Below are 27,192 nucleotides of genomic sequence, written 5' to 3' on the forward strand. Positions count from 1 at the left end.
CATCAAGCTTCTAATGACTTTCTTCACAGAATTGGAAAAAGAAACTACTTTAAAGTTCATATGAAACTAAAAAAGAGCCTGCATTGCCAAGACAATCCTAAGCAAAAAGAACAAAGCTGGAGGCATCACACTACCTGACTTCAAACTATACTACAAGGCTACAGTAACCAAAACAGCATGGTACTGGTGCCAAAACAGATATATAGACCAATGGAACAGAACAGAGGCCTCAGAAATAAGACCACACATCTACAGCCATCTGATCTTTGACAAACCTGACAAAAACAAGAAATGGGGAAAGGATTGCCTATTTAATAAATGATGCTGGGAAAACTGGCTAGCCATATGTAGAAAGCTGAAACTGGATCCCTTCCTTACATCTTATACAAAAATTAATTCAAGATGGATAAAAGACTTAAATGTTAGACCTAAAACCATAAAAACCCTAGAAGAAAACCTAGGCAATACCATTCAGGACATAGGCATGAGCAAGGACTTCATGACTAAAACACCAAAAGCAATGGCAACAAAAGCCAAAATTGACAAATGGGATCTAATTAAACTAAGGAGCTTCTGTACTGCAAAAGAAACTGCCATCAGAGTGAACCAGGCAACATACAGAATGGGAGATAAATTGCAATCTACCCATTTGACAAAGAAAGAATTCAAACAAATTTACAAGAAAAAAACAACCCCATCAAAAAGTGGGCAAACATATGAATAGACGCTTCTCAAAAGAAGACATCTATGCAGCTAACAGACACAAGAAAAAAAGCTCATCATCACTGGTCATCAAAGAAATGCAAATCAAAACCACAATGAGATACCATCCCACCCCAGTTAGAATGTCAATCATTAAAAAGTCAGGAAACAACAGATGCTGGAGAGGATATGGAGAAATAGGAATGCTTTTACACTGTTGGTGGGAGTGTAAACTAGTTCAACCATTGTGAAAGACATTGTGGCAATTCCTCGAGGATCTAGAACTAGAATTACCATTTGACCCAGCAATCCCATTACTGGATATATATCCAAAGGATTATAAATCATGCTACTATAAAGACATATGCACATGTATGTTTATTGCGGCACTATTAACAATAGCAAAGACTTGGAACCAACCCAAATGTCCATTAATGATGGACTGGATTAAGACATGTGACACATATACACCATGGAATACTATGCAGCCATAAAAAAGGATGAGTTCATGTCCTTTGCAGGGAGATAGATGAAGCTGGAAACCATCATTCTCAGCAAAACTATCACAAGGACAGAAAACCAAACACCGCATGTTCTCACTCATAGATGGGAATTGAACAATGAGATCACTTAGACACAGGGCTGGGAACATCACACACTGGGGCCTGTTGGGGGGTGGAGGGCTGGGGGAGGGAGACCATTAGGAGAAATACTTAATGTAAATGATGAGTTGATGGGTGCAGCAAACCAACATGGCACATGTGTGCCTATGTATCAAACCTGCACGTTGTGCACATGTACCCTAGAACTTAAGGTATAACAACAACAACAACAACAACAAACGTTTCTTCTACCAGATGTCCTCAGTCATCTCTCTCATTTTCAAAGTTCCATAAATCTGTAGGGCAGGGGCAAAATGCCACCATTCTCTTTGCTAAAGCATAGCAGGAGTGACCTTTACTTCAGTTCTCAACAAGTTGTTCATCTCCATCTCGGACCTCCTCAGCCTGGACTTCACTGTCCAAGTCACTATCAGCAGTTTGGTCAAAGCCATTCAACAAGTCTCTAGGCAGTTCCAAACTTTCCCACATCTTCTGGTCTTCTTCTGAGTCCTCTCAACTGTTCCAAACTCTGCATATTACACAGTTCCAAAGTCACTTCCACATTCTTAGGTATCTTATAGCAATACTCCATTACCTCAGTATCAAAATCTGTATTAGCCATGGTTCTCTAGAGGGATAGAACTAGTAGGAGATATATATATATATACACATACATATATATATATACACATACATATATATACATACATATATATATATACATATATATACATACATATATATATACACATACATATATATATATGACAGGGAGTTTATTAAGGAGAATTGAATCACACCATCACAAAGTGAAGTCCTACAACAGGCCGTCTGCAAGTTGAGGAGCAAGGAATCTAGTATTGGCTTAGTCCGAGTCCCAACACCTCAAAAGTAGGGAAACCGACAGGCCAGCTTTGAGTCTCTGGATGAAGGCCTGGGAGCCCCTGGAAAACAACTGGAGTAAGCCCAAGAGTCCAAAAGCCAAAGAACCTGGAGTCTGATATTTGAGTGCAGGAAGCATCCAGCATGGGAGAAAGATGAGGGCCAGAAGGCTCAGCAAGTCAGCTTCTCCTAACCTTCTTCTGCCTGCTTTATTCGAGCCATGCTGGCAGCTGATTTTATGGTGCCCACCCACATTGAGGGTGGATCTGCCTTTCCCAGTCCACTAAATAAATGTTAATCTCCTTTGGCAACACCCTCACAGACACAACCGGGAACAATAATTTGGATCCTTCAATCCAATCAAGTTGACACTTACTTAATATTAACCTACACAATGTAATATTCATCCCATTTGTAATTTTTCTTTAATATACAAGCTCGTTGAGAACATGCACCATTTGATCTTGTCTCTCTGTTGTGTTGGGAGGCAGTGGAGAAGAGAAGAGTTAAATGTGTGGGTGTGGAGTGAGACTGTCAGATTTGCATCTTGGCTCCCCTACTTATTGGATCTCTGTCCTTGAGTAAATTATTTAACATCTTTCTCAGTTTCCTTACCTGTAAATGAGTGGTGACATATATGGAACTTAGAACAAGAGCCAAGCAAGTATTCAATAAAAGCTAATGTTGTTGCCTACTGTTCATTCTCAGTGTTTGGCATAGTAGCCAGCAAAAGGAAGAGGATTTTTTTTTTTATTTTTTTCAGACAGTCTCCCTCTGTCACCCAGGCTGGAGTGCCATGGTGTGATCTTGGCTCACTGCAACCTCTGCCTCTTGGGTTCAAGTGATTCTTGTGCCTCAGCCCCCTGAGTAGCTGGGATTACAGGCCTGTGCCACCACACCCAGCTAACTTTTTGTATTTTTAGTGGAGATGGAGCTTTGCTATGTTGGCCAGGCTGGTCTTGAACTCATGTCCTCAAGTGATCCACCCGCTTTGGCCTCCCAAAGTGTTGGGATTATAGGCATGAGCCATTGGGTCCAGCCTGGAAATATTTTTTTGAAACATGACTGATAACAATATTTTTGAAAGAATGACAGATACCAATCATGAAGGAAAAGATTTTGACAATTGACAATAAAAAACTTTAACTTCTGAATGGTAAAAAGGGTGAGAAAATTAAAAGCCAAATTACAAATTGAAAAAACTAAAGTATATAAAACAAAGGTTTTCATTCTCAATTTAATGCAGAATCTTGACAAATCAAAAAGAACAAAAGGTGAACCCACCTAAAAGAAGTAGGCAGAAAACTTTCAAGAAAAGCAGTTTACAAAATGCCAATGACTAATAAACATGGATATTTAACATCACTAGTATTCAAAGTACTTCATTTACAGAGATCCCTCCTTCACCTATCAAATTAGCAAAGATGAAAAAGGCTAGTAATACCAAATTTTGAAGAGAGGTGAGAGGAAATGACAAGTTTATGTACCCTGGTAGGACATGATATTGTGGCAATATGTTTCAGAACACTCATAAACGTATACACCTTTTAGATCAACAATTACACTTTTAAGCTTAAGAAAATATGAAGATTAGGTACAAATATTTCTCTATATGTTCAACTAAGTATTATTTTTTTAAGTAAGAAAAACTTTTTGAGACAGGGTCTCACTCTGTTGCCCAGGCTGGATAGCTCACTACAGCCTCCGCCTCCTGAGTTCAAGTGATTCTTCTGCTTCAGCCTCCTGAGTAGCTGGGATTACAGATGCCCACCACCATGCCCGGCTAAGTTTTGTATTTTTAGTGGAGACGGGGTTTCACCATGTTGGTTGGCCAGGCTGGTCTTGAACTCCTGACCTCAAGTGATCCACCCTTCTTGGCCTCCCAAAATGCTGGGATTATAGGTGTCAGCCACCATGCCCGGCCAATTTTTTAATTTAAAAAAATATTTTTATAGCAGCACAACTAAGCATTATTTTAATAGCAAATATTGGAGTTAACTTTAATTTTGAACAGGATGAGTAATCATGATGCAGCACATTGAATACTCTTTCATTAAGCTAAACAACTATTTAAAATGATATACAAACACATTTACTGAAAAGAAACATGTTTGTGATATACAGTTAAGTGTAAAACAATTCAGGTTATAAGAACATATTAGGCTGGGTGCGATGGCTCAAGCCTGTAATCCCAGCACTTTGGGAGGCCGAGGCAGGAGGATCACGAGGTCAGGAGATCAAGACCATCCTGGCTAACATGTTGAAGCCCTGGATCTACTAAAAACACAAAAAAAATTAGCCGGGCATGGTGGCAGACGCCTGAGTCCCAACTACTTTGGAGGTTGAGGCAGGAGAATGGCATGAACCCGGGAGGCAGAGCATGCAGTGAGCTGAGATTGTGCCACTGCACTCCAACCTGGGTGACAGAGCAAGACTCCGCCTCAAAAAAAAAAATAAAAGAACATATTGGTCAATATTCACTGATTTTTATAAGAATATTTGACAGAGAGAGGGGTAAGGGAAGGGAAGGGGGAAGAGAGGGGAAGGGAAGGGAAGGGAAGAAGGGAAGAAGGGAAGGGAAGGGAATATGGGTGGGTTTATATCAAAAGGTTCAGAAGGAAATGATTCTTTTCTTCTGGATGTGACTATTGCAGATTTTATTTTTAACTTTTCCTCTTTTTCTTATTTATTTATATTTTCTTATTTTAAGAGAAACTATAAAACTATATATATTACTTTTCAACTTAAAAATAGTTTAGTGCTTCAGTAATACAGAAGACTCAAACATTGCAGATAATTAAAGCATTACTTAATGTGGAAATATTTAGTTTCACAATTTCTGTAGTGATATTCAAGACCAGATATCACCTTGGGAATCAGAACTGGTGCAGGATCTTGTCCTAACACTACCAAAAAGGCATATGGCTGTCCCAGCTCTGTATGTTTATGTCGTCTTATGATAGAGCAACCATTTGTTTATTAGGATGGCCAAAAAGGCACATTTCAAAAATGCCTATTAAAATATTAGTAGTACAAATAATACTGCTGCTTAATTTTTTCTAATGAGAACTGATAAAATTCAAAAGCAACATAAGCAGATAAATAGAAATAATATGGTTTATCAAATTAATTGTCACATGATTATTAAAGTGAGATCATGTGTGTTAAGTAGTGGTATCTTAAGCCACTGAAATATCTTCCTTGGTCTGGAATGAGCTTTCTATGGAGATTAAAAAGATGTTAAATTGAACAGTCTTGGTTAATAAATGAAGAAGCAAAGCCAGAAACCCTGTTTAAAGAACTAACAAAAAAGGTCATGAATGATCTGGTGGTTGTTATATTTTCTTGTTTACCCGAGGAGAAGACTATGCTCAAGCATGTATTGAATCCAGTGATAGCCAGAATGTCATCCATACTGCTAGCAGCCATTAGTAAGGTTGGAATGTCTTCCTCAACACCATATCCATTTTCTTGCAACACCATCGTGTAAAGGACAACAACAGCAAGAGAGACAGCACCTAGAACAAAACTGAAAGAAAGAATGAAAATTAATTTAAAAGCATCTTTTTAATCAAGTAGTGTTTTATAAGTACAAATAGTTTATAATAAATGTATAACAAACATTGTTTAGAAGAATTTCAAATTTGAGTGAATGCAATTTAATGGTGATAAAACTTTTCATGCATTGTTTAGTGCTGGCTAAAATTTTATACAGACGTGGTTTAAAATGTTGGGCTGAGCACAGGTTGCAGCCTCTCCCTCTATTCCTAAATCCTTTGAAGTGAAGATGTAAAGGTCATAGAAAAATTCATAACCTAACTAGAAAGCAAAAGGTGAATCATCAATGGACAAGAAACTAAGTATATGCCAGAAAGATAAGAGACAGACAATTTAGCATTGAAAAAAGGAAACCATAAACCAAAATGTGTGTAAATAAGATTGCCTCAAAAGATACATGTGCTTCTAAAAGTGGTCCAAGCCCTGAAATGACAGATGCTGGGAGCAGGAGAGACCTCCGGGGAAACCAAATAGTCTATTATTTGGAGTAGCACTGTAAGAATGGTCAGACAAATCTACCTTCCACACATTTCCTACCTCTTGAGTAAATAAGTAAGGAAGGAAGGAAGGAACAGAGTTGTCTGCCCAAAAAAACAAGTGTGGCCACCTAAGTTACAAAGGCAAATGAGAACATTTCTGGAGTGGTTGATGACACCCATGAGGAATGGGGAGGCTCCTGCTCAGAATACCTTCTATTGGCATATCTTATCCAGAATTTCACCTCATCTCTTCTACATTTACTTTATAAAGTGTGAAGTATATCCTGTGTAAAAATGCTTTTGGTGCTCCTGCCAGAATCCATTTACCAGGTCAATGAACACATCTCCCAGTGCTTCTTGTTGGCTGCTAATATCTGCAGGTTTCTAGAACCCTTGTCCTGCTGACAAGCACCTACCTGGGAATACTAGAGAGGTTGCGCACCCCTCTACTTTCCCTCCAGACAGCATCTGCCAATGACGGACTGATGTGAGATTTGCTTCCGGCTGTACAACTCTATGGCACAGTTTATGCTACAGATTTCCCTGTGGGCTCAAGAAGAGACTAGACTTCTCTAAGACCACATACTGGTCTAGTTCAGTGGTTCCTGAACTCTGCTGCACATTGTAATCACCTGTTGTATTATTTTTCTCATTTTGCTTAACAAGTCATCCCCAAACATAGCAGCTTAAAACAACAAATATTTATTGTCTTATGCTTCTGTGGGTCAGGAATCTGGGCATGGCTTAGCTGTATGCCTTGACTTAAGATTTCCCATGAGGTAGGGTGGGGTGGAGAAGATCTGCTTCCAAGTTTACTCATGTAGCCATTGCAGGCTTCAGTTTTTTCCAATGGGGTTTTCTCCACAGGGCTGCCTCAGGACATGGCAGCTGGCTTCCCCAGGAATAAGTGATCAAAGAGAATTTAATCCACAACATCAATTAAAAACACAAAGTATCTAAGAACAAAACTGTGAAGACAGTCTATACTTTTATAAAAATTGTGAATATAATAATATAATAATTAAGATAATACCTGAATACTTACACATTTCACAAGTGTGAACTAAAAAGCCCCAATTTTACCATTGCCCAACACCACGCCTGGCTAGTTTTTGTGTTTTTAGTAGATACAGTGTTTCACCATTTTGGCCAGGCTGGTCTTGAACTCCTGACCTCAAGTGATATGCCTGCCTTGGCCTCCCAAAGTGCTGGGATTATAAGTGTGAGCCACCATGCCCAGCCAAAGCCTCAATAATATAAAGATGTAATCTCTCCCCAAATGAATTAATCAGAGATACACCAATCAAAATCTTTGCAGGGACTTTTACTGAGCTTGAAAAGCTGATTATAAAATTCATTTGGAAGAATAAGATCTTAGAATGAAAGATCAAGTAAACTTAAGAAAACCAGATACTATTTTTGTAAAGGTTAAATAGTTAAAACTGAATAATAGTGACATATAAATAGACAAAATAAATTGGAAGAAAAGAGAATACAAAGTGTGGAAACAAATCTATGGGATTTGTTACATCATAAATTGGTATTTTAAATCAGTGGGAGAAAGAAAGAAATCTTTCACAAATGGTGTTGAGATAACTATTTATGTGGAAAGGAATATAGATAGATCCTTACACATAATAACTGTTAAAAGCTCAAAAGGAAAAGTAGTAATAAGAAAATGTAGTGGGCTAGGCGTGATGGCTCACACCTGTAATCCCAGCACTTTGGGAGGCTGAGGCGGACAGATCAGGAATCTGAGACCAGCCTGGCCAACATGGCAAAACCAATAGCTGGGTGCAGTGGTGCATGCCTGTAGTCCCAGCCGCTTGGGAGGTTGAGGCAGGAGAATCACTTGAACCTGGGAGGTGGAGGTTGCAGTGAGCTGAGATCATGCCACTGCACTACAGCCTGGGTGACAGCAAGACTGTGAACAACAACAACAAAAAGATGTAGAATAATATATTTGTGATCATGAGGTAAAAAGGACCTTTTGAATGATACATACAAAGGCATTAGACATAAAAAGAGATTTTGATACATTCAATTATATTAAAGTAGTACTTCAAAAGCAACTTCAAAAGTACTATAATAAAGTACTACTTCGAAAGCAATTCTGCTCTTTCTCCCCCTTTTTCTCTTTTTCATTTTCAAAGTCAAGTGAACAGTGTTGTGTATTGGCAATTCTGTCTGTTGAAAATAACAAAATACACTTATTAGAGTGAAAAAAATCATCACAAACAAAATTAAATATCTACTGATATTTGCAGTACATATAATTTACAAATGCATATAACATATATAATTAATACAGAAGACCAACTCAACAAAAAAATGGACAAAGATATGAACAGGCTAGCTACAGATAAGGAAAAGCTGAAGGACAACACATATATAAAATATATTCAAGCTTGTGAATAATCACAGAAATGCAAATTAAAATAACAAAAATATGCCATTTTTTCAATTATCAGACTGGAAAACATTATAAAATTTAATAATATCAAGGATTTGCAAGGATTTTCAAGAACAACAGGTATGCTCATAAGCTACTGGTATTAGGGCAAATTAAAGTGGCCATACCGAAAGGATTTTGGCTGTATATATCAAACTAAAAATGCATGTAACCCAGGTAACTATTCTAGACAAACTTATAGTTATGTAAAATGAGACAAATAAAATGCTATTTTTGTTATAACATTGTAAATAAAATCTGCTGTTGACATACAATGTAATCTTATACAATTAAAAGGAATAAACTACATGTGTATCCATCTTGAGATGGATAAACCTTGAGACTATTGTTGAGTGAAAAGAACAAATTGTAAAGTAAAATTTTCTTGGGTATGATTACATAAAAATGCACAAAATAATACTCTTTTTTTCTCTGGGTTCACAAATACATTTGTTAGAAGTCCAGAACATTATTTTTAAAGCTCTAGAATGATAACATAAAACTCACGAAGATGCTGCCACTCTGTCTCCAGCGGCACATGAGTGCACCCCACAGCACCATTGCCCCGGCTGGCACGTGCAAGTATGCAGAACACCCCCATCCCACTCCTGCCGGCACTGCACCCCTGCCAACACATGCATACCTGCTGTGTGCTGCTGCTGCTGGCACGTATGTGTGAGTGGGGACCTTGCTACAATCACTACAGTGAAGCACTTTGGCTGGCACATCCCATCAGAGTGTTGTTGCCAGTGGACTGGGAACACCTTAGTGCTTAACATTGAAGGGCCAGACAACAAATCTGTGGGTATGGTACCAGCCTTGCAAAGTTAGAGCATGCAGTTCAGGAGTGCTGAGCTGAGCCTTTGCCCCCTGAAATCTTCCAGAAATGAAGCCATTTGACTGAAACTACCTTGTGCCACAGTTAAACCCTCAAGGGCATTAAAGAATATAAAAAAGGAAAAAACTCCATCCAAAGGACAGTGAGTCAAAACATTAAAGGAACCTTAGCCCACACAGATGTGAAAGAACCAGTGCAAGAACTCTGGCAATGTAAAAAGCCAGAATGTCTTCCTGTCTTCAAGCAATCATACTAACTCTCCAACAATGGTTGTTAACCAGGACTAAATGACAGACATAGATTTCAGAATCTGGATAGAAACAAAGATCATTGAGATTCAGAAGAAAGTCAAAATCCAATCCAAATAATCTAAGGAATCCAATAAGATGACATAAGAGCTGAAAGATGAAATAGGCATTTTAAGAAAGAACCAAACTAAACTGATAGAGCTGAAAAATGCACCTCAAGAATTTCATAATGCAATAACAAGTACTAACAGTAGAACGGACCAAGCTGAGGAAAGAATCCCAGATCTCAAAGACCACTTCTTTGAATCAACTCAGTCATATGAAAATAAACGACAAAAAAGAATGAACAAAACCTCTGAGAAATCTGAGCTTATGTAAAGAGACCAAACATATGACTCAAGGCACCACTCAAAGAAAGGGAGAAAGAACAAGCAAGTTGGAAAACATATTTGAGGATACTGCCCACAAAAATTTCCCAAATCTTGCTAGAGAAGTCACCATTTAAATCCAGGAAATGCAGAGAATCCTGTGAGATACTATACAAGATGACCATCCCCAAGACAGAGAGTCATCAGATTCCCCAAGGTCAACATGAAATAAAAAAATATGAAAGGCAGCTAAAGTGAAGGAGCAGGTCACATACAAAGGGAATCCCACCAGGCTAACAGTGGAACTATAAGAACTATAAGATACTCTACAATCCAAAAGAAATTGGGGGCCTATATTCAGCATTCTTTTTTTTTTTTTCGAGACGGAGTCTCACTCTGTTGCCCAGGCTGGAGTGCACTGGTGCTATCTCGGCTCACTGCAACCTCCACTTCCCGGGTTCAAGCAATTCTTCTCCCTCAGCCTCCCAAGTAGCTGGGACTACAGGTGCACACCACAACACCTGGCAATTTTTTGTAATTTTAGTAGAGACAGGATTTCACCATATTGGCCAAGGTGGTCTCAAATTCCTGACCTCGTGATCTGCCCACCTCGGCCTCTCAAAGTGCTGGGATTACAGGTGTGAGCCACCACACCTGGCCTTCAGCATTCTTAAAAAAAAAATACTTGGCCGGGTATGGTGGCTCATGCCTGTAATCCCAGCACTTTGGGAGGCTGAGGAGGGCAGAACACAAGGTCAAGAGATCAAGACCATCCTGGCCAACATGGTGAAACCTCATCTCTAATAAAAATACAAAAATTAGCTGGGTATGGTGGTGCGTGTCTGTAGTCCCAGCTACTTGGGAGGCTGAGGCAAGAGAATCACTTAACCCAGGAGGTGGAGGTTGCAGTGAGCCGAGATAGCACCACTGCACTCCAGCCTGGGGACAGAGCAAGACTCTGTTGCAAAAAAAAAAAAAAAAAAATTCAACCAAGAACTTAATATCCAGCCAAACTAAACTTCATATGTGAAGGAGAAGTAAGATCCTTTTCAGACAAACAAATGCTAACGGAATCTGTTACCACCAGACATGCCTTACAAGAGGTCCTTAAGGGAGTGCTAAGCGTGGAAGTGAAAGACTGTTAATGGCCACCACAAAAATACATTTAAGTACATAGACCATTGACGTTGTAAAGTAACTACACAATCAAGTCTGCATAATAACCAGCTAACAACATAATGGCAGGACCAAAGCTATAAATACCATTAACTGTGAATGTAAACAGTATAAATGCCCTGCTTAAAACTCACAGAATGGCAAGTTGGATAAAGAAGCAAAGCCCAACTGTATCTGTTGTCAAGAGACCCAGCTCATATGCAACAATACCCCTTGGCTTGAAGTAAAAGGATGGAAAAAAATCTACCAAGCAAATGCAAAACAAAAAAGGGTAAGCATTGTTATTCTAATACAGACAAAATAGACTTTAAACCAACAACAATCAAAGAGACAAAGAAGGGTACTATGTAATGATAAAGGGTTCAATTCAACAAGAAGACTTAACTGTCTGAAAGATAAATGTGCTCAAAACTGGAGCATTCACATTTGTAAAACAAGTTCATAGAGACCTATAGAGAGACTTAGATAACCACAGAATAATAGTGGGAGACTTCAACATCTCACTGATGGTACTAGACAGATCATAGAGACAGAAAATGCACAAAGATATTCAGGACTTGAAGTCAACATTTGGCTAAATGGACCTAACAGCCATCTACAGAACACTCCACCCAACAACAACAGAATATATCTTCTTCTCATCTGTACATGGCATATATTGTAAAATTGATCACACTATCAGTCTAAAATTATTTTCAATAAATTAAAAGAAGCCCCTGAAATCATGCCAACCACACTCTTGGACCGCTCAGTGTAGCAAAAATAGAAGTCAACACTAAGAAGAACTCTCAAAACCATAAAATTACATGGAAATTAAACAACCTGTGCCTGAATGACTTTTGGGTAAACAATGAAATTAAGGCAGAAACCAATATATTTTTTGAAACTAATTAAAACAAAGATACAATATTCTAGGCTCTCTAAGACACAGGCAAAGCAGTGTTAAGGGAAAAGTTTATAGTGCTAAATGCCCATATTGAAAAGTTAGAAGGATCTTAAATTAACAACCTAATATCATACCTAAAGGAAACAGAAAAACAAGAGGAAACCAACCCAAAGCTAGCAGAAGAAAATAAACAACCAAAATCAGAGCAGAATGGAATGAAATTGAGTCATGAAAAGCCATACAAAAGATAAATGAAACTAAAAGCTGGTTCTTCGAAAGAATAAATAAATTTGATAGGTCACTAGCTAGACCAATAAGGAAAAAAAAAAGAGAAGATACAAAAAACACAATCAGAAATGGTAAAGTGGACATTACCGCCAACCACACAGAAATACAAAAAACTCTCAGAGACTAAGATGAACATGTTTATGAAAACAAAGTAGAACACCTACAAGAAATGGGTACATTTCTGGAAACATACAACCTCCCAAGATTGAACTAGGAAGAAATTGAAATCCTGAACAAACCAAAAATGAGTTCTGAAACTGAATGAGTAATAAAAAGTCTCTGAGCCAAAAAAAAAAAAAAAAAGCAAGCCCAGGACCCAACAGATTCACAGACAAATTCTACCAGAAGTGTAAAGAAGAGCTGGTACCAATGCTACTGAAATCATTCTGAAAAAATGAGGAGGAAGGATCCCTCCCTAACTCATTTTATGAGGTCAGCATCATTCAGATATGAAAACCTGGCAGAGACACAGCAAAAAAGAAAACTTCAGGACAGTTATCACTGATAATCATAGATGCAAAAATCCTCAACAAAATACAAGCCAACTGAATCCAGCAGCACATCAAAAAGCTAGTCCACTATGATCATGTAAGATTTATTGCTGGGATGCAAGTTTGGTTCAAGATATACAAACCAATAAATGTGATTCATCATAAAATAGAACTAAAAATAAAAACATCCCTTCTTGATATAAACCCTCAACAAATGAGTTACTGAAGGAGCATACCTCAAAATAATTGAAGCCATTTATGACAAACCCACAGCCAACTTCATACTGAATGGGAAAAAGCTGGAATATTCCCTTTGAGAACTGGAACAAGACAAGGATGCCCACTCTCACTACTCCTATTCAACATAGTGCTGGATGTCCTAGCCAGTGCAATTAGGCAAGAGAAAGAAACACAGACATCTAAATACGAAGAATGGAAGTCAAACTATGCCTCTTCTTGGGTGAAACACTTTTATACCAAGAAAACCCCATAGTAGCCTCTCGAGAGCTCCCAGATCTGACAAATGACTTCAGCAAAGTTTCAGGATACAAAAATTAATGTACACAAATCTGTAGCATTTCTATACAGCAACAACATCCAAGCTGACAGCCAAATCAAGAATGCAATCCCATTCACAGTAGCCACAAAAAAAACTACAAAATACCTTGGAATACAGCTAAGCAGGGAGGTGAAAAATCTCTAAAATGAAAATTACAAACGAGTGCTCAAAGAATCAGAGACAACAGAAACAAAAGGAAAACATTCCATGATCACAGATAGGAAGAAGCAATATTGTTAAAATGTCCATACTGTCTAAGGCTATTTACAGAGTCAATGCCATTCCTATCATAACACCAATGACATTTTTCACAGGATTAAAAAAAAAGCATTCTAAAATTCATTTGGAGCCAAAAAAAAAAAAAGCCCAAATAGCCAAAGCAATCCTAAGCAAAAAGAACAAAGTCAAAAGCGTCACACTACCTGACTTCGAACTGTACTACAATGCTACAGTAAGCAAAACAGCATGGTTATGCTCAGCAAAATAAATAATCAGCAGAGTAAAAAGACAACCTATAGAGTGGGAGAAAATCTTTACAAACTATGCACCCAGCAAAGTACTAATATCCAGAATCTATAAGGAACTCAAAAACAGACATAGACCAGTGGAACAAGTTACAGAACGCAGAAATAAAGCCACACACCTATAGCCATCTACTCTTCAACAAACTTGACAAAAACAAGCAATGGGGAAGGGAATCCCTACTTGGAAATTGTGGTGGGATAACTGGCTAGCCGTATGCAGAAAATTGAAACTGGACTCCATACTTTTCACTGTTTACAAAAATCAACTCAAGGTAGATTAAAGACTTAAGTGTAAAACCCAAAACTATAAAAACCCTGGAAGATAGCCTAAGAAATACCATTCTGGATACAGGCCATTCTGGACATATCCTAGGAAATTTCAATTCTGGAAAACACTTTATGACAAAGATGCCAAAAGCAATTGCAACAAAAACAAAAATTGACAAATGGGACCTAATTAAACTAAAGGGCTTCTGCACAGCAAAAGATATCATCAACAAACAACCTATGGAATGGAAGAAAATATTTGCAAACCATGCATTCGACAAAAGTCTGATATCCAGAATCCAAAAAGAACTTAGAAAAATCAACAAGCAAAAATCTAACAACCTCATTAAATGCGCAAAGGACAGGACAAGACACTTCTCAAAAGAAGACAAACACGTAGTCAACAAGTATACGAAAAAATATTCAACATCACTAATCATTGGAGAAATGCAAAACAAAAGTGCAATGAGATACAACCTCACAGGAGGCAGAATGGCTATTATTAAAAAGTCAAAAAGTAATAGATGCTGGCGAGTTTGGGGAGCTACTCCCAGGTCTTTGGAAGGCTGAGGCATGAGAATTGCTTGAACCTGGGAGGCAGAGGTTGCAGTGAGCTGAGATTGGGCCATTGCACTCTAGCCTGGGCAACAGAGCAAGACTCCATCTCAAAAAAAAAATACAGAAAGAGAAAGAAAGAAAAACCCACAGCCAACATTATACTGAACGGGGAAAAGTTGAAAGCATTCCCCTGAGAACTGGAAAAAGACAAGGATGCCCACTTTCACCACTTCTATTCAACATAGTACTGGAAGTCCTAGCCAGAGCAATCAGACAAGAGAAAGAAATAAAGGGCATCTAAATCAGTAAAGAGGAAGTCAAACTGTTGCTGTTCCTGATGATATGATCATATAATGAGAAAACCCTAAAGACTCATCCAAAAAGCTCCTAGATCTGATAAATGAGTTCAGTAACGTTTCAGGATACAACATCAATGTACACAAATCAGTAGCACTGGTATACACTGACGGTGACTGAGCTGAGAATTAAATCAAGATCTCAACCCCTTTTAAAACAGCTACAAAAAAAACAAAACAAACAAACAAAACCAAAGAAAAAAACCCCAAGCAAACCAACTTAGGAATATACCTAACCAAGGAGGTGAAAGACCTCTACAGTGAAAACTACAAAGCACTGCAGAAAGAAATCATAGATGACACAAACAAATAAAAACACATCACATGCTCATGGATAGGTAGAATCAATATTGTGAAAATGACCATACTGCCAAAAGCAATCTACATCATCATTCTTCCCTGAGCTAGAAAAAGCAATCCTAAAATTCATGTGGAAGCCAAAAATAGTCCGCATAATGAAAGCAAGACTAAGCAAAAAGAACAAGTGTGGATGCATCACATTGCTTGACTTCAAGCTATATTATAAGGCTATATTCACCAAAGCAGCATAATACTGGTATAAAAATAGGCACATAGACTAATGGAACTGAATAGAGAACTGAGAAATAAAGCCAAATACTTAAGCCAACTGATCTTTAACAAAGGAAACAAAAACATAAAGTTGGGAAAGGACACCATATTCAACAAACAGTGCTGGGATATTTGGCAAGCCATATGTAGAAGAATGAAACTGCATCCTCATCTCTCACCTTATACAAAAATCAACTCAAGATGGATCAAAGACTTAAATCTAACACCTAAAACTATAAAAATTCTAGAAGGTAACATTGGAAATGCCCTTCTAGACATTTGCTTAGGCAAAGACTTCATGACCAAGAACCCAAAAGCAAAGGCAACAAAAACAAAGATAAATAGATGGGACTTAATTAAACTAAGAAGCTTCTACACAGCAAAAGAAATAATCAGCAGAGTAAAAAGACAACCTATAGAGTGGGAGAAAATCTTTACAAACTATGCATCCAACAAAGTACTAATATCCAAAATCTATAAGGAACTCATATCAGCAAGAAAAAAACAATTTATCCTATCAAAAAGTGTGCTAAGGACATGAATAGACACTTCCCAAAAGAAGATATAAATGGCCAAGAAACATGAAAAAATCCTCAATATCGCTAATTATCAGGGAAATGCAAACAAAACCAAAATGCGATACCATCTCACTCCTCCAAGAAGAGCCATAATCAAAAAATTAAAAAAAATTGATGTTGCCATGGGTGTGGTAAAAAGGGAACACTTTTACACTGCTGGGGGGAATGTAAACTAGTACAACCGCTATGGAAAAGAGTATGAAGATTTCTTAAATAATTAAAAGTAGATCTACCATTTGATCTAGCAATCCCACTACTGGGTATCTACCCAGAGGAAAAGAAGTCATTATATGAAAAAAACACTTGCACACACGTTTTTGGCAGCAAAATTTGCAATTGTGAAAGATATGGAACTAGCCCAAATGCCCATCAATCAATGAATGCATAGAGAAAATGTGGTGTATATATATATGTGTATATACACACATATATGTGTATATATGTATATATGTGTATATACACACATATATGTGTATATATGTGTATATACACACATATATGTGTATATATGTATATATGTGTATATACACATATATATGTGTATATATGTGTATATACACATATATATGTGTATATATGTGTATATATGTATATATGTGTATATACACATATATATGTGTATATATGTGTATATACACACATATATATGTGTGTATATACACATATATATGTGTGTATATGTGTGTATATACACATATATATGTGTGTATATGTGTGTATGTGTGTATATATATACACACACAGACCATGGACGGAATACTACTCAGCTATAAAAAGGAATGAAATAATGACATTCACAGCAGCCTGGAAGGAGTTGGACACCATTATTCTAAGTGAAGTAATTCAGGAATGAAAAAACCAAACATTGTATGTTCTGACTTATAAGTGGGAGTTATGCTATGAGGATGCAAAAGCATAAGAATGATACAATGGACTTTGGGGACTTAGGGGGAAGAGTAGGAGGAGGGTGAGGGATAAAAGACTACACCTTGGGTGCAGTGTACACTGCTCTGGTGATGGGTGCACCAAAATCTCAGAAATTACCACTAAAAATATTTTCCATGTAAACAAACACCACCTGTTCCTTAAAAACTAATGAAAAAAATAAAAAAGACATGAGATCAACCTAAATGCCCATCAATGGTGAACTAGATAAAGAAAATGTGGCACATATACACCATAGAATAATACACAGCCATAAGAAAGAACGAGATCATGTCCTTTGGAGCAACGTGGATGGAGTTGAGGCCAATATGCAAAGTGAATTAACACAGGAACAGGAAACCAAATATCCCATATTCTCACTTATAAGTGGGAGCTAAACACTGAGTACACATGGACAGAAAGAAGGGAACAATTGTCACTAGGTGAATTTGAGGGTGGAGGGTGGAAGGAGGGGGAGAATGGAAAAACTACGTATTGGGTATTATACTTACAACCTGGGTGACAAAATAATCCGCATACCAAACCCCTGTGACATGCAATTTATCCATATAACAAGCCTGCTCATGTACCCCTTGAGCCAAAATAAAAATTGGAGAAGAAAAAAACTCCTAAGAGTTGTCACTTTGGGTAGAGTTACGGGCATTATGATTTGAAGGCATAGTTTAAGGTCATTCCTCCTTTATTTATAAAGTTCTAATTTTTAAAATAAAAGTGCATTTGAGTATTTAATCATAAACATTAATTTAAAAATTCACTGGATTTTGTAGTAACTATGTAATGGATGATCTTTGCTATGAGTGTCATTGGAATGGATAAGCAGAGACAAAAGTTGATGAATTAAGAAATGAAAAGGAGTTAGGATCTAGAGACAGTAGTTATAGACTTATTTTGAGGAATTCAAACATAAGATAAATGGATGTAAATAAAGATGGATGGGGCATTGGATATATGGCAAGAGTTTTTGTTTGCTTGCTTTCTTTAAAATGGGAGAGTTTATATTTATACACCTATGTCTATATAAAATGTTTCTCAAATATATATATACACACATACATATATATGAAATGTGCAACTGTATTTACATATAGCTATGAGGAAGAGGCCATTAGATAGACTAAAGCATACAGATATGTTATAATACAGATGAAAAGGAATAAATTGATCACGTGAATTTTCTTTATGATAAACATTTAGGGGATATGAATGTTTGTTAAAAAAATTTCGTGCAATTTGGGACATTCTCTGCTTTTAATCAACTGCTTTCCAAGGATTTTAACACTGTGAAATGAATTTTAATAGAGATTTTCTATACAATATTCTGAATGTTTTAACAGTTTTAAACAAGCATCCTTAATTGAATATTTTCATAAGAAAAAATGAGAAAGAAATTACCCTAATAGAATTGCCCATTGCCAGGGAAATTTCATAATGAAGTGGGAAAAAACAGCAGCTGCACTTGCCTCCATAAGGCATGGACCTACAGCCAATCTGAAACAAACCACCTTCAAATGTCTCAAAGCCTGAAACACAAAACAGTCACATTTGATGCATTTACAGTGGCCAACAAGAAAATTATTTTAACAAATGTTGGACTATAAAGTCTTTTTTCATAAGAAGCTTTCACTAAACAAAATCTCATTTCAACAGATTGCCCCACTGGACTTTGAACTCTATTATATTTTATAAGTCATCATAGGTTGGATTATAAACAATTTCATCTTTTATAAAATATTATTGTATTTTAATATGAAAATATCAATTTTACTGTGATTAAATAGCTAATGCTACCTTCCTGAACTTTCCTAATACATAGTATAATAATAGTGTCCTAGTAGTGTTTTCCCATTAACTTTTTGATATGAACTCTTTGATTAACTTAATAAGTATAAATACAACACTAACATGCCAAAGAAAATAACTTAAAAACTGCATAATTCATTTTAAAAGGGAGAACTTTTCAATTTTCTCCTTGGTTCATACTTTCTGCTGGAGAATATAATCTCATTGGCTATAATTATTTATGCTCTTGAGCTATTTCTATTAAACCACATTTGCCACATTTATTTGAGTGGCTGTCATATTCATGAATAGTCATCTTCTTATAGATGGGATTTATGATCCCTAGAATGTAATATTTTAAGAAATGCTTTAAAAGATTAGATTTTACAATAATGCAAAGATAATCAGGAACATAATCCTGTAGAGAAAACGTCATAAAAAATTACTGAAATCCTTAATCTCCCTAAAAAAAGAAAAAGAATTGTATAAGGTTTTTCTTATAAAACGTTTGTTTGTTTTGTTTTGTTTTTTGAGACGGAGTCTCACTCTGTCCCCCAGGCTGGATTGCAGTGGCACTATCTCAGCTCACTGCAACCTCTGTCACTCAGGTTCAAGCGATTCTCTTGCCTCAGCCTCCCGAGTAGCTGGGATTACCAGGTAAATGCCACCATGCACGGCTAATTTTTGTAGATTACAGGCATGAGCCATCATGCCCGGCCTTTTTTTCTTTATCTTAGGTTTGTTTACAGACTCCACTTGGAACAGGTAAATACAATTTTTGCTTCTTTTTCTTTCTCACCATCCTCTAATATTTGAAATAACCTTACTCGATTTGTAATTGTAAATCTACCTGTGGATCGAGTCCAAGCCCAGCTCGTATTAGAATAATGTTAAGGGCAATGCTTCTTAAAATTGAAGACCATGCGTTAGGAACATGGACGTGTTCACTGATGAATGGAACATTCCTAATTGTAAATCCAGCCAGTAACATCCCTTAAAAGAAAGAAAATAAACATACATGACAGTTCATTTTTCTGAGAAAGAAAACAGAAATGTTTATTTTCTAATGCACTATGTCTCTCATTATTTTGGTAAAGGGCAGGTTACAAGCAAGTAGAGAAGGCAGCATGAATAAAGGAATGGCGATAAACAATACACCTAAATGGGGTTCAACAAGTAATTTAGTGTTGCTGGAACATACAGGGCAAGGAAAGGAGGGAGGAGAATGAGCTTGGTGGGCCAGATCATAGAAAGGTCTCCCCCCACTTTGGCAAAGTAAGGCACCATGGGAAGGTTTTAGGCAGGAAGTAATATAATGAGTCTTGCGATTTTTATATGAGGGTCTTGGTGAATTAGTTAGGGATAAAACTGGAGACAGAGACCAAATTGAAGGCTCCGTCACAGTCCACGCAAAAGTTGGAAACAAATAGCCTAAGCTAGAGCAAAAGAGAAAGTTTGGAGAGGAGGAAAATGATTCAATAAATACTTAGAAGGTGCTGTAAGAAAACTGTGGATACAGAAGGGACAGCAGGGATAAGATGTAGAGATTATCTCTACTGACAGTGTACTGAATATATATTTATTTTTGGGGACAGGGTCTCATTCTGTTGCCCAAGGTGAGTGCAGTGATGCAAACATGGCTCACTGTAGGCTTAACCTCCTGAGCTCAAGTGATCCTCTTGCCTTAGCCTCCTGAGTAGCTGAGACCCAGAAAAATTTTTAATATTTTGTAAAGACAAGGTCTGCTATGTTGCCCAGGCTGGTTTTGAACTCCTGGGATCAGGTGATCCTCCTGCCTTGGCCTCCCAAACTGCTGGGATTATGGGCATGAGCCACCATGCCTGGCCCACTGTACTGAATATTTAGATATATTTGAATACAGTAAGTTCTCACTCAGCATCGTCGATAGGTGATTGGAAATGGCAACTTTGAGTAAAATGGTATACAATAAAACCAATTTTAGCATAGGCTAAATGATATGAACAAGAGTCAATTTCCTACAGCATATTTCTGGTCACAAAACATCATCAAACTTCTAAATAAAGATCCAAAACACTTCTAGTATTAAACAATGAAATAAATTTGAGCTCTACATACATTTTACAAAGTTTTATAAAATAAATAAGATAATTCTTTACTTAATTTTTGATGAATCCACGAGTGACGGTGGTTATAGCAGTGATGGTTAAAATCAAAGAATAAATGTTTACAAAGTGAAAATTGTAAGGAGCACCTCCTCCCACTATACAGTTCAAAAACAAACACAAATATGGTAGGCTGGCTGAGAGTTTTCACATCACATTGTTTATTGTCTTGCATTTGTATGGTTATCATATACTTAACAAAATTTTATTTTGCAATAATTTATATTCATTCATTTATTCATTGTACAATCCACTAGTTCAGGGTCATTGTACAATCCACTAGAATACTAGTTCAGGGTCAAAGGTGACTGAAACTTAATCCAAAAAAATCAAGGAGGGACTCCCTCCCTAACACATTCTATGAATCTAGTATCACAATTATACCCAAATCAGGCAAAGCCACACACACACACACACACACACACACTACTGGTCAATATCCCTGATGAACATAGATGCAAAAATTCTCAACTAGCAAAATCAATTCAATAGTACATCAAAGAGATAATATAGTTAAGTGGGTTGTACTCCAGAAATACAAGGATGGTTCAACATGTGAATCATTCTTCCATAAAGACATATACACACATATGTTCATTGTGGCACTATTCACAATAAAAAGACATGGAATCAACTTAAATGACTAAATAAAGAAAATGTGTTACATATACACCATGGAATACTATGCAGTCATAAAAAAGAATGGCATCATGTCCTTTGTAGCAACATGGATAGAGCTGAACACCATTATCCTAAGTGAAATAACTCAGAAACAGAAAACTCAAATACCACATGTTCTCACTTATATGTGGTAGCTAAACAATGGGTACATATGGACATAAAGATGGAAATAATAGACACTGGGGAGTCCAAAAGGAGAGAGGGTTGGAGAGTTAAGGTTGAAAAATTTCCTATTGGGTATAGTATTCACTGTTTGATGATGGGTTCACTAGAGCCCAAATCTCACCATTATGCAATATATCCATGTACCAAACCTGCACATGTACTCCGTGAATCTAAAATTTTTAAAGATTCTATTAAACAATAAAGCAACAGGAATAATGTACTAAGGATATTAAATTTATTTTAAAAATAAATTTTGGATAAAACTTGTGTGTGTATATATGTAGACAGAGAGAGAAATAAATGCCCCTATAAAAGAGCTATACACACACACACACACACATACAGCAAATACACACATGAAGAAACTATATAAAACATACTACATTGAAATATTTCTGAATTATAACTAATTCAACAAGAAAATGTTCAAAATTTGCATATAGTCAATAATAAAGAAAAGAGAGCTAATTATATACTTACCAAGAAGAGGTGGAAATGGAGGCACTAAAGGTATTCTAATGAGTTGTAAAATTTTTCCCCCAATAATGGCACTATAAAAAATAATTAACAATCCAAATAAATTTCCACTAGGGAGAGCTTCAGAGCCTAAGATTGACCAGGTCATACACCATATCACAAACAGTGTAACTCCTAAAATACAAAAAAGTGTACAGCTATATATCTACATACACATAGATGTATACAAACAAATGATCAATTCTCTTTTATCATATATACTAATAGCCAGTTCTATAAAATGATACATGGTATAGATCAACATTGCTTACTAGTTTGGTGAAAGAGATATCTGCTTAACATATATTCCAAATAACCTGTCAATTTATGAAGTAGGTTTTAAACAAAGTGTTTTCACTTTAAAAATATTTAAAAACTATATGTGGGCCAGGTGCAGTGGCTCACGCCTTAATCCCAGCACTTTGGGAGGCTGAGGTGGGCTGGATCACATGAGGTCAGGAGTTTGAGACCAGCCTGGCCAACACAGTGAAATCCCGTCTCTACTAAAAACGCAAAAATTAGCCAGGCGTGGTGGTGCGTGCCTGTAATCCCAGCTATATGGGAGGCTGAGTCAGGAGAATTGCTTGAACCCAGGAGGTGGAGGTTGCAGTGAGCCAAGATTGTGCCACTGCACTCCAGCCTGGGTGACAGAGTGAGACTCAGTCTCAATAAAAAAATAAAAAAAATTAAAAAAAAAACCTATATGTGAACTCTTGAAAATGCTAACTTATAATATATGATAGTTAAAAACATCATGGCAATATGATGAGATTTACTTCATTTTATATTTTAAAATAGCTTTTTCATCAGGATGGAAAATAAGAGGATGATTGGCTGTGATAAGAATTCACAACCTTATTGAAGATCACAGTGTCAAGGTGCCAAATCTTTTAACAGGAACCTGCTAAATCTTTTTATTGAAAGGATAATTCAACTGATATTTGGCATAAATGTATTATAGGAGGAAATGGCTGGAAGAAATGTACCTAGATTTTGTGGGAATAAATATAAAGTATCTTAGATTATGTGTAGGAGGTAGAGGTAGATTAAGATGAGTAGGTATAAGTTACTAGACATCTTGTTTCTGACAACTAGGTGCTACTCACTGAGGAATCCACAGGTTTCTGTAAAGGACAGACAATAACATGGTAAATTTCCATTTGCTAATTAAATGGCTACCTTTATTTGCTATGAATCATAATTGCTAATGCTTTTAATATTCTTTTTTTTTTTTTTTTTTTTTTTTTTTGAGACGGAGTCTCGCTCTGTCGCCCAGGCTGGAGTGCAGTGGCGCAATCTCGGCTCACTGCAAGCTCTGCCTCCCGGGTTCACGCCATTCTCCTGCCTCAGCCTCCCGAGTAGCTGGGACTACAGGCGCCCGCCACCGCGCCCGGCTAATTTTTTGTATTTTTAGTAGAGACTGGGTTTCACCATGTTAGCCAGGAGCTTTTAATATTCTTAAAACAGCTTACATGAACTTTTTAGCTATGAACCCTTTCTGGCTGTATAGAATTTGCCAGGGTAGAAGAGGAGGATTTTGACTCACTCCAGGCAGAAAGTTAGAACAAAGTTTTTTTCCTCCTCCCCTCTGATTATTGTCATCCTGCAAAACTGGAAGCCTTGGAGGGCTAAACTCTTACTAAAATAATGGACCAGGCTGGGCATGGTGGCTCGTGCCTGTAATCCCGGGACTTTGGGAGGCCGAGGCGGGTGGATCACCTGAGGTCAGGAATTCAAGATGAGCCTGACCAACACGGTGAAACGCCGTCTCTATTAAAAATACAGACAATTAGCCTGGCCTGTTGGTGCATGCCTGTAATCCCAGCTACTTGGGAGGCTGAGGTAGGAGAATTGCTTGAACCCAGGAGGCGGACATTGCAGTGAGCTGAGATGGCGCCACTTCACTCCAGCCTGGGTAACAAGAGCAAAACTCCATCTCAAGAAAACAAAACAAAACAAAAAACAAAAATAAAAAACACAGACCAGAAAATGTCATCCTACTGACAAATTGAGAAGACAAGGCAGTTTGTCTTAGCTGGTCTCTGGGTGGCAAAGTCTTTTTTGAGAATTCATATGTAAAACTGGCCTCATCCAACTTATGCGTAGGGCTCAAATTACATTACGTGCACAGGTTAGGGATCCCAAAGTTCTAAACCTACCATAAAAGTGTCCCTGCATTGAAGTATCCCTAGAAAACTTAGTAGATGCTAATTCAAAAAATCTCTAATAGACACACCTGATCCCAGACTGCATAAAGTCTCAAAGGTAAAGCCAAGTGAATCTGAACTTAAAATAAGAAGAAATATCCCATGAGCAAAAGTTAACAGATACAATAAAGAATGGGATTAGATGTCTAAAAACCTCAGCTAATAGAACCACTAGATAGACACTATAAAATATGTATTTTCAAAGGGACTAGAGAAAATTTTTAAAAATTGGAGACATGAGAAGAAGAAATTACTTGAAAGTATTGTAAAATAATTAAATAGAACATCTAGAAAAAACTTTAAAATTTACTCAACTGAAAAAAACCCACTAAGTACCCAAATAGCAATCTAGGCAAAGCTGAAGAGAGAACACAGCAAAGTAGTAGATATGAGGAAATTATTTAAGAGCATAGCACACACAAAAAAAAAACGAGGTGGAAAATGAGAGATTTAGATTATGGAAAAGATCTAAAACACAACTAATGGTAGTTTCAGAAACATCCATTGAAAGAATGAAGAAGATATAATATTTGAGAAGAAAACTGGCTTCAAATTTTACAGAATTGATTAGGGTTTTTATTGATTTGGACACAGGAAGTCAAATGAGTTCTAATCATGATTAAGTAAAAATAGATACTTAGATAAAATGTTGAGAAACTATAGACTACCAAAGGCAAAAATAAAATCTTAAATAATCTAGACAGAGAAAGAGAGATTAATCATAATTGAATAAACAATAGAGCAGATTCTCAATTCTTATCAGCAACAATAGAAGATGGAAGATAATTAAATAAAGTCTTCAAAGTACAGAGATAAATAAAACATTCAGTGTTGAATTCTGTAGCCAGTTAACTGTCACTCGAACAAAAGACAAATGAAAGATATTGTCAAACAAATACATTTAAGAACATATGCCATTTTTTACCAGGGAAAAATCTACTGAAAGATATGCTTTAGAAATATGACATAGAACCAGAAAAGACGGAACAATGTGCAAAGAAATTGGTAAAATGTAGGTTAGTCTAAACAAGTATTTGTTGTGTAACACATTACTAATGAAAATTGTTAATCAGAGGATATAAAGATAAGGTTGGGAGGTGACATGAAAAGGTTGGCAATTTATTTCCACACCAAAACTCCCCCCAAAAATTGCAGAAATACCAAAAACAATAATTTCAGGACCCTGAAAACTCATCAAAGGCAGTTATCAAATTTAAGAAGCATTTATTCTTGAAAAAAGTGTTAGGGTTTTGGGTAGGATTGGTAAAAGTCTGAGCCCTTCCTGACGGGGGTTTCTCCCTGATATAGTTTGGCTTTGTGTCCCCATCCAAATCTCATCTTGAATTGTACTCCCATAATTCCTATGTGTTGTGGGAGGGACCTCGTGGGAGATAATTGAATCATGGGGGTGGTTCCCCCCCATACTGTTCTCGTGGTAGTGAATAAGTCTCACAAGATCTGATGGCTTTATCAGGGGTTTCCGCTTTTGCATCTTCCTCATTTTCTCTTGCCACCACCATGTAAGAAGTGCCTTTCACCTCCTGCCATGATTCTGAGGTCTCCTCAGCCACCTGGAACTATAAGTCCAATTAAGCCTCTTTTTCTTCCCAGTCTTGGGTATGTCTTTATTAGCAGAATGAAAACAGACTAATACACTCCCATCTCTCTTCTCACCCCCAAGCTCAGTTGGGGAAAACTGTAGTTTTACCAGTTTGAAGCTGGATGTAAAACCCAGCAGCTTTCCTGTTAGGGCTGGGGGCACGGGTGGATTTGGTATGGAGCAGAGGGAAGAAATCAATGGTTTTGCCAGTTAAATATAGCAGAGTGGTTTGGGAATGAACAGAGAGAATTGCAGATTTGCTAGTCTGAGGTTGCAGTTTCAACTGGGGAAGTGGAAGACAAGACAAAAATTTAAGTGAGAGATCCTGAGGGTCAATAGGTGCAGCAAACCACCATGGCACATGTATACCTGTGTAACAAACCTGAATGTTCTGCACATGTATCCTGGAACTCAAAGTGAAAGAAAGAAAGAAAGAAAGAAAGAAAGAAAGAAAGAAAGAAAGAAAGAGAGAGAAAGAAAGAAAGAGAGAAAGAAACAAAGAAAGAGAGAGAGAAAGAAAGAAAGAGAGAGAGAAAGAAAGAAGAAAGAAAGAAAAAGGAAGAAAGAAAGAAAGAAAGAAAGAAAGAAAGAAAGAAAGAAAGAAAGAAAGAGAAAGAAAGAAAGAAAAGAAAGACCCACATGCTAGGCTAGAGTTTTCCAGTTCCAAGTTCCAATTCTCTCACTGAGAAGAGTGGCTCACTGTGCCTAAACTGTTTATACAAACAATGTGGTTTACTCTGAACAGCTGCTTTTCCTCTGAGAGTCTGGAATTC

General features: G+C 37.0%; 1 pseudogene; it reads right to left on the reverse strand.

Annotated features, from left to right (window-relative positions):
• Positions 1 to 27,192, reverse strand: part of LOC102723945 (sodium/hydrogen exchanger 9B1-like) — a 278,678-nt pseudogene that overhangs the window by 25,558 nt on the left and 225,928 nt on the right.

Source organism: Homo sapiens (genome assembly GCF_000001405.40).
Source record: "Homo sapiens chromosome 16 unlocalized genomic scaffold, GRCh38.p14 Primary Assembly HSCHR16_RANDOM_CTG1".
Taxonomy (NCBI): domain Eukaryota; kingdom Metazoa; phylum Chordata; class Mammalia; order Primates; family Hominidae; genus Homo; species Homo sapiens.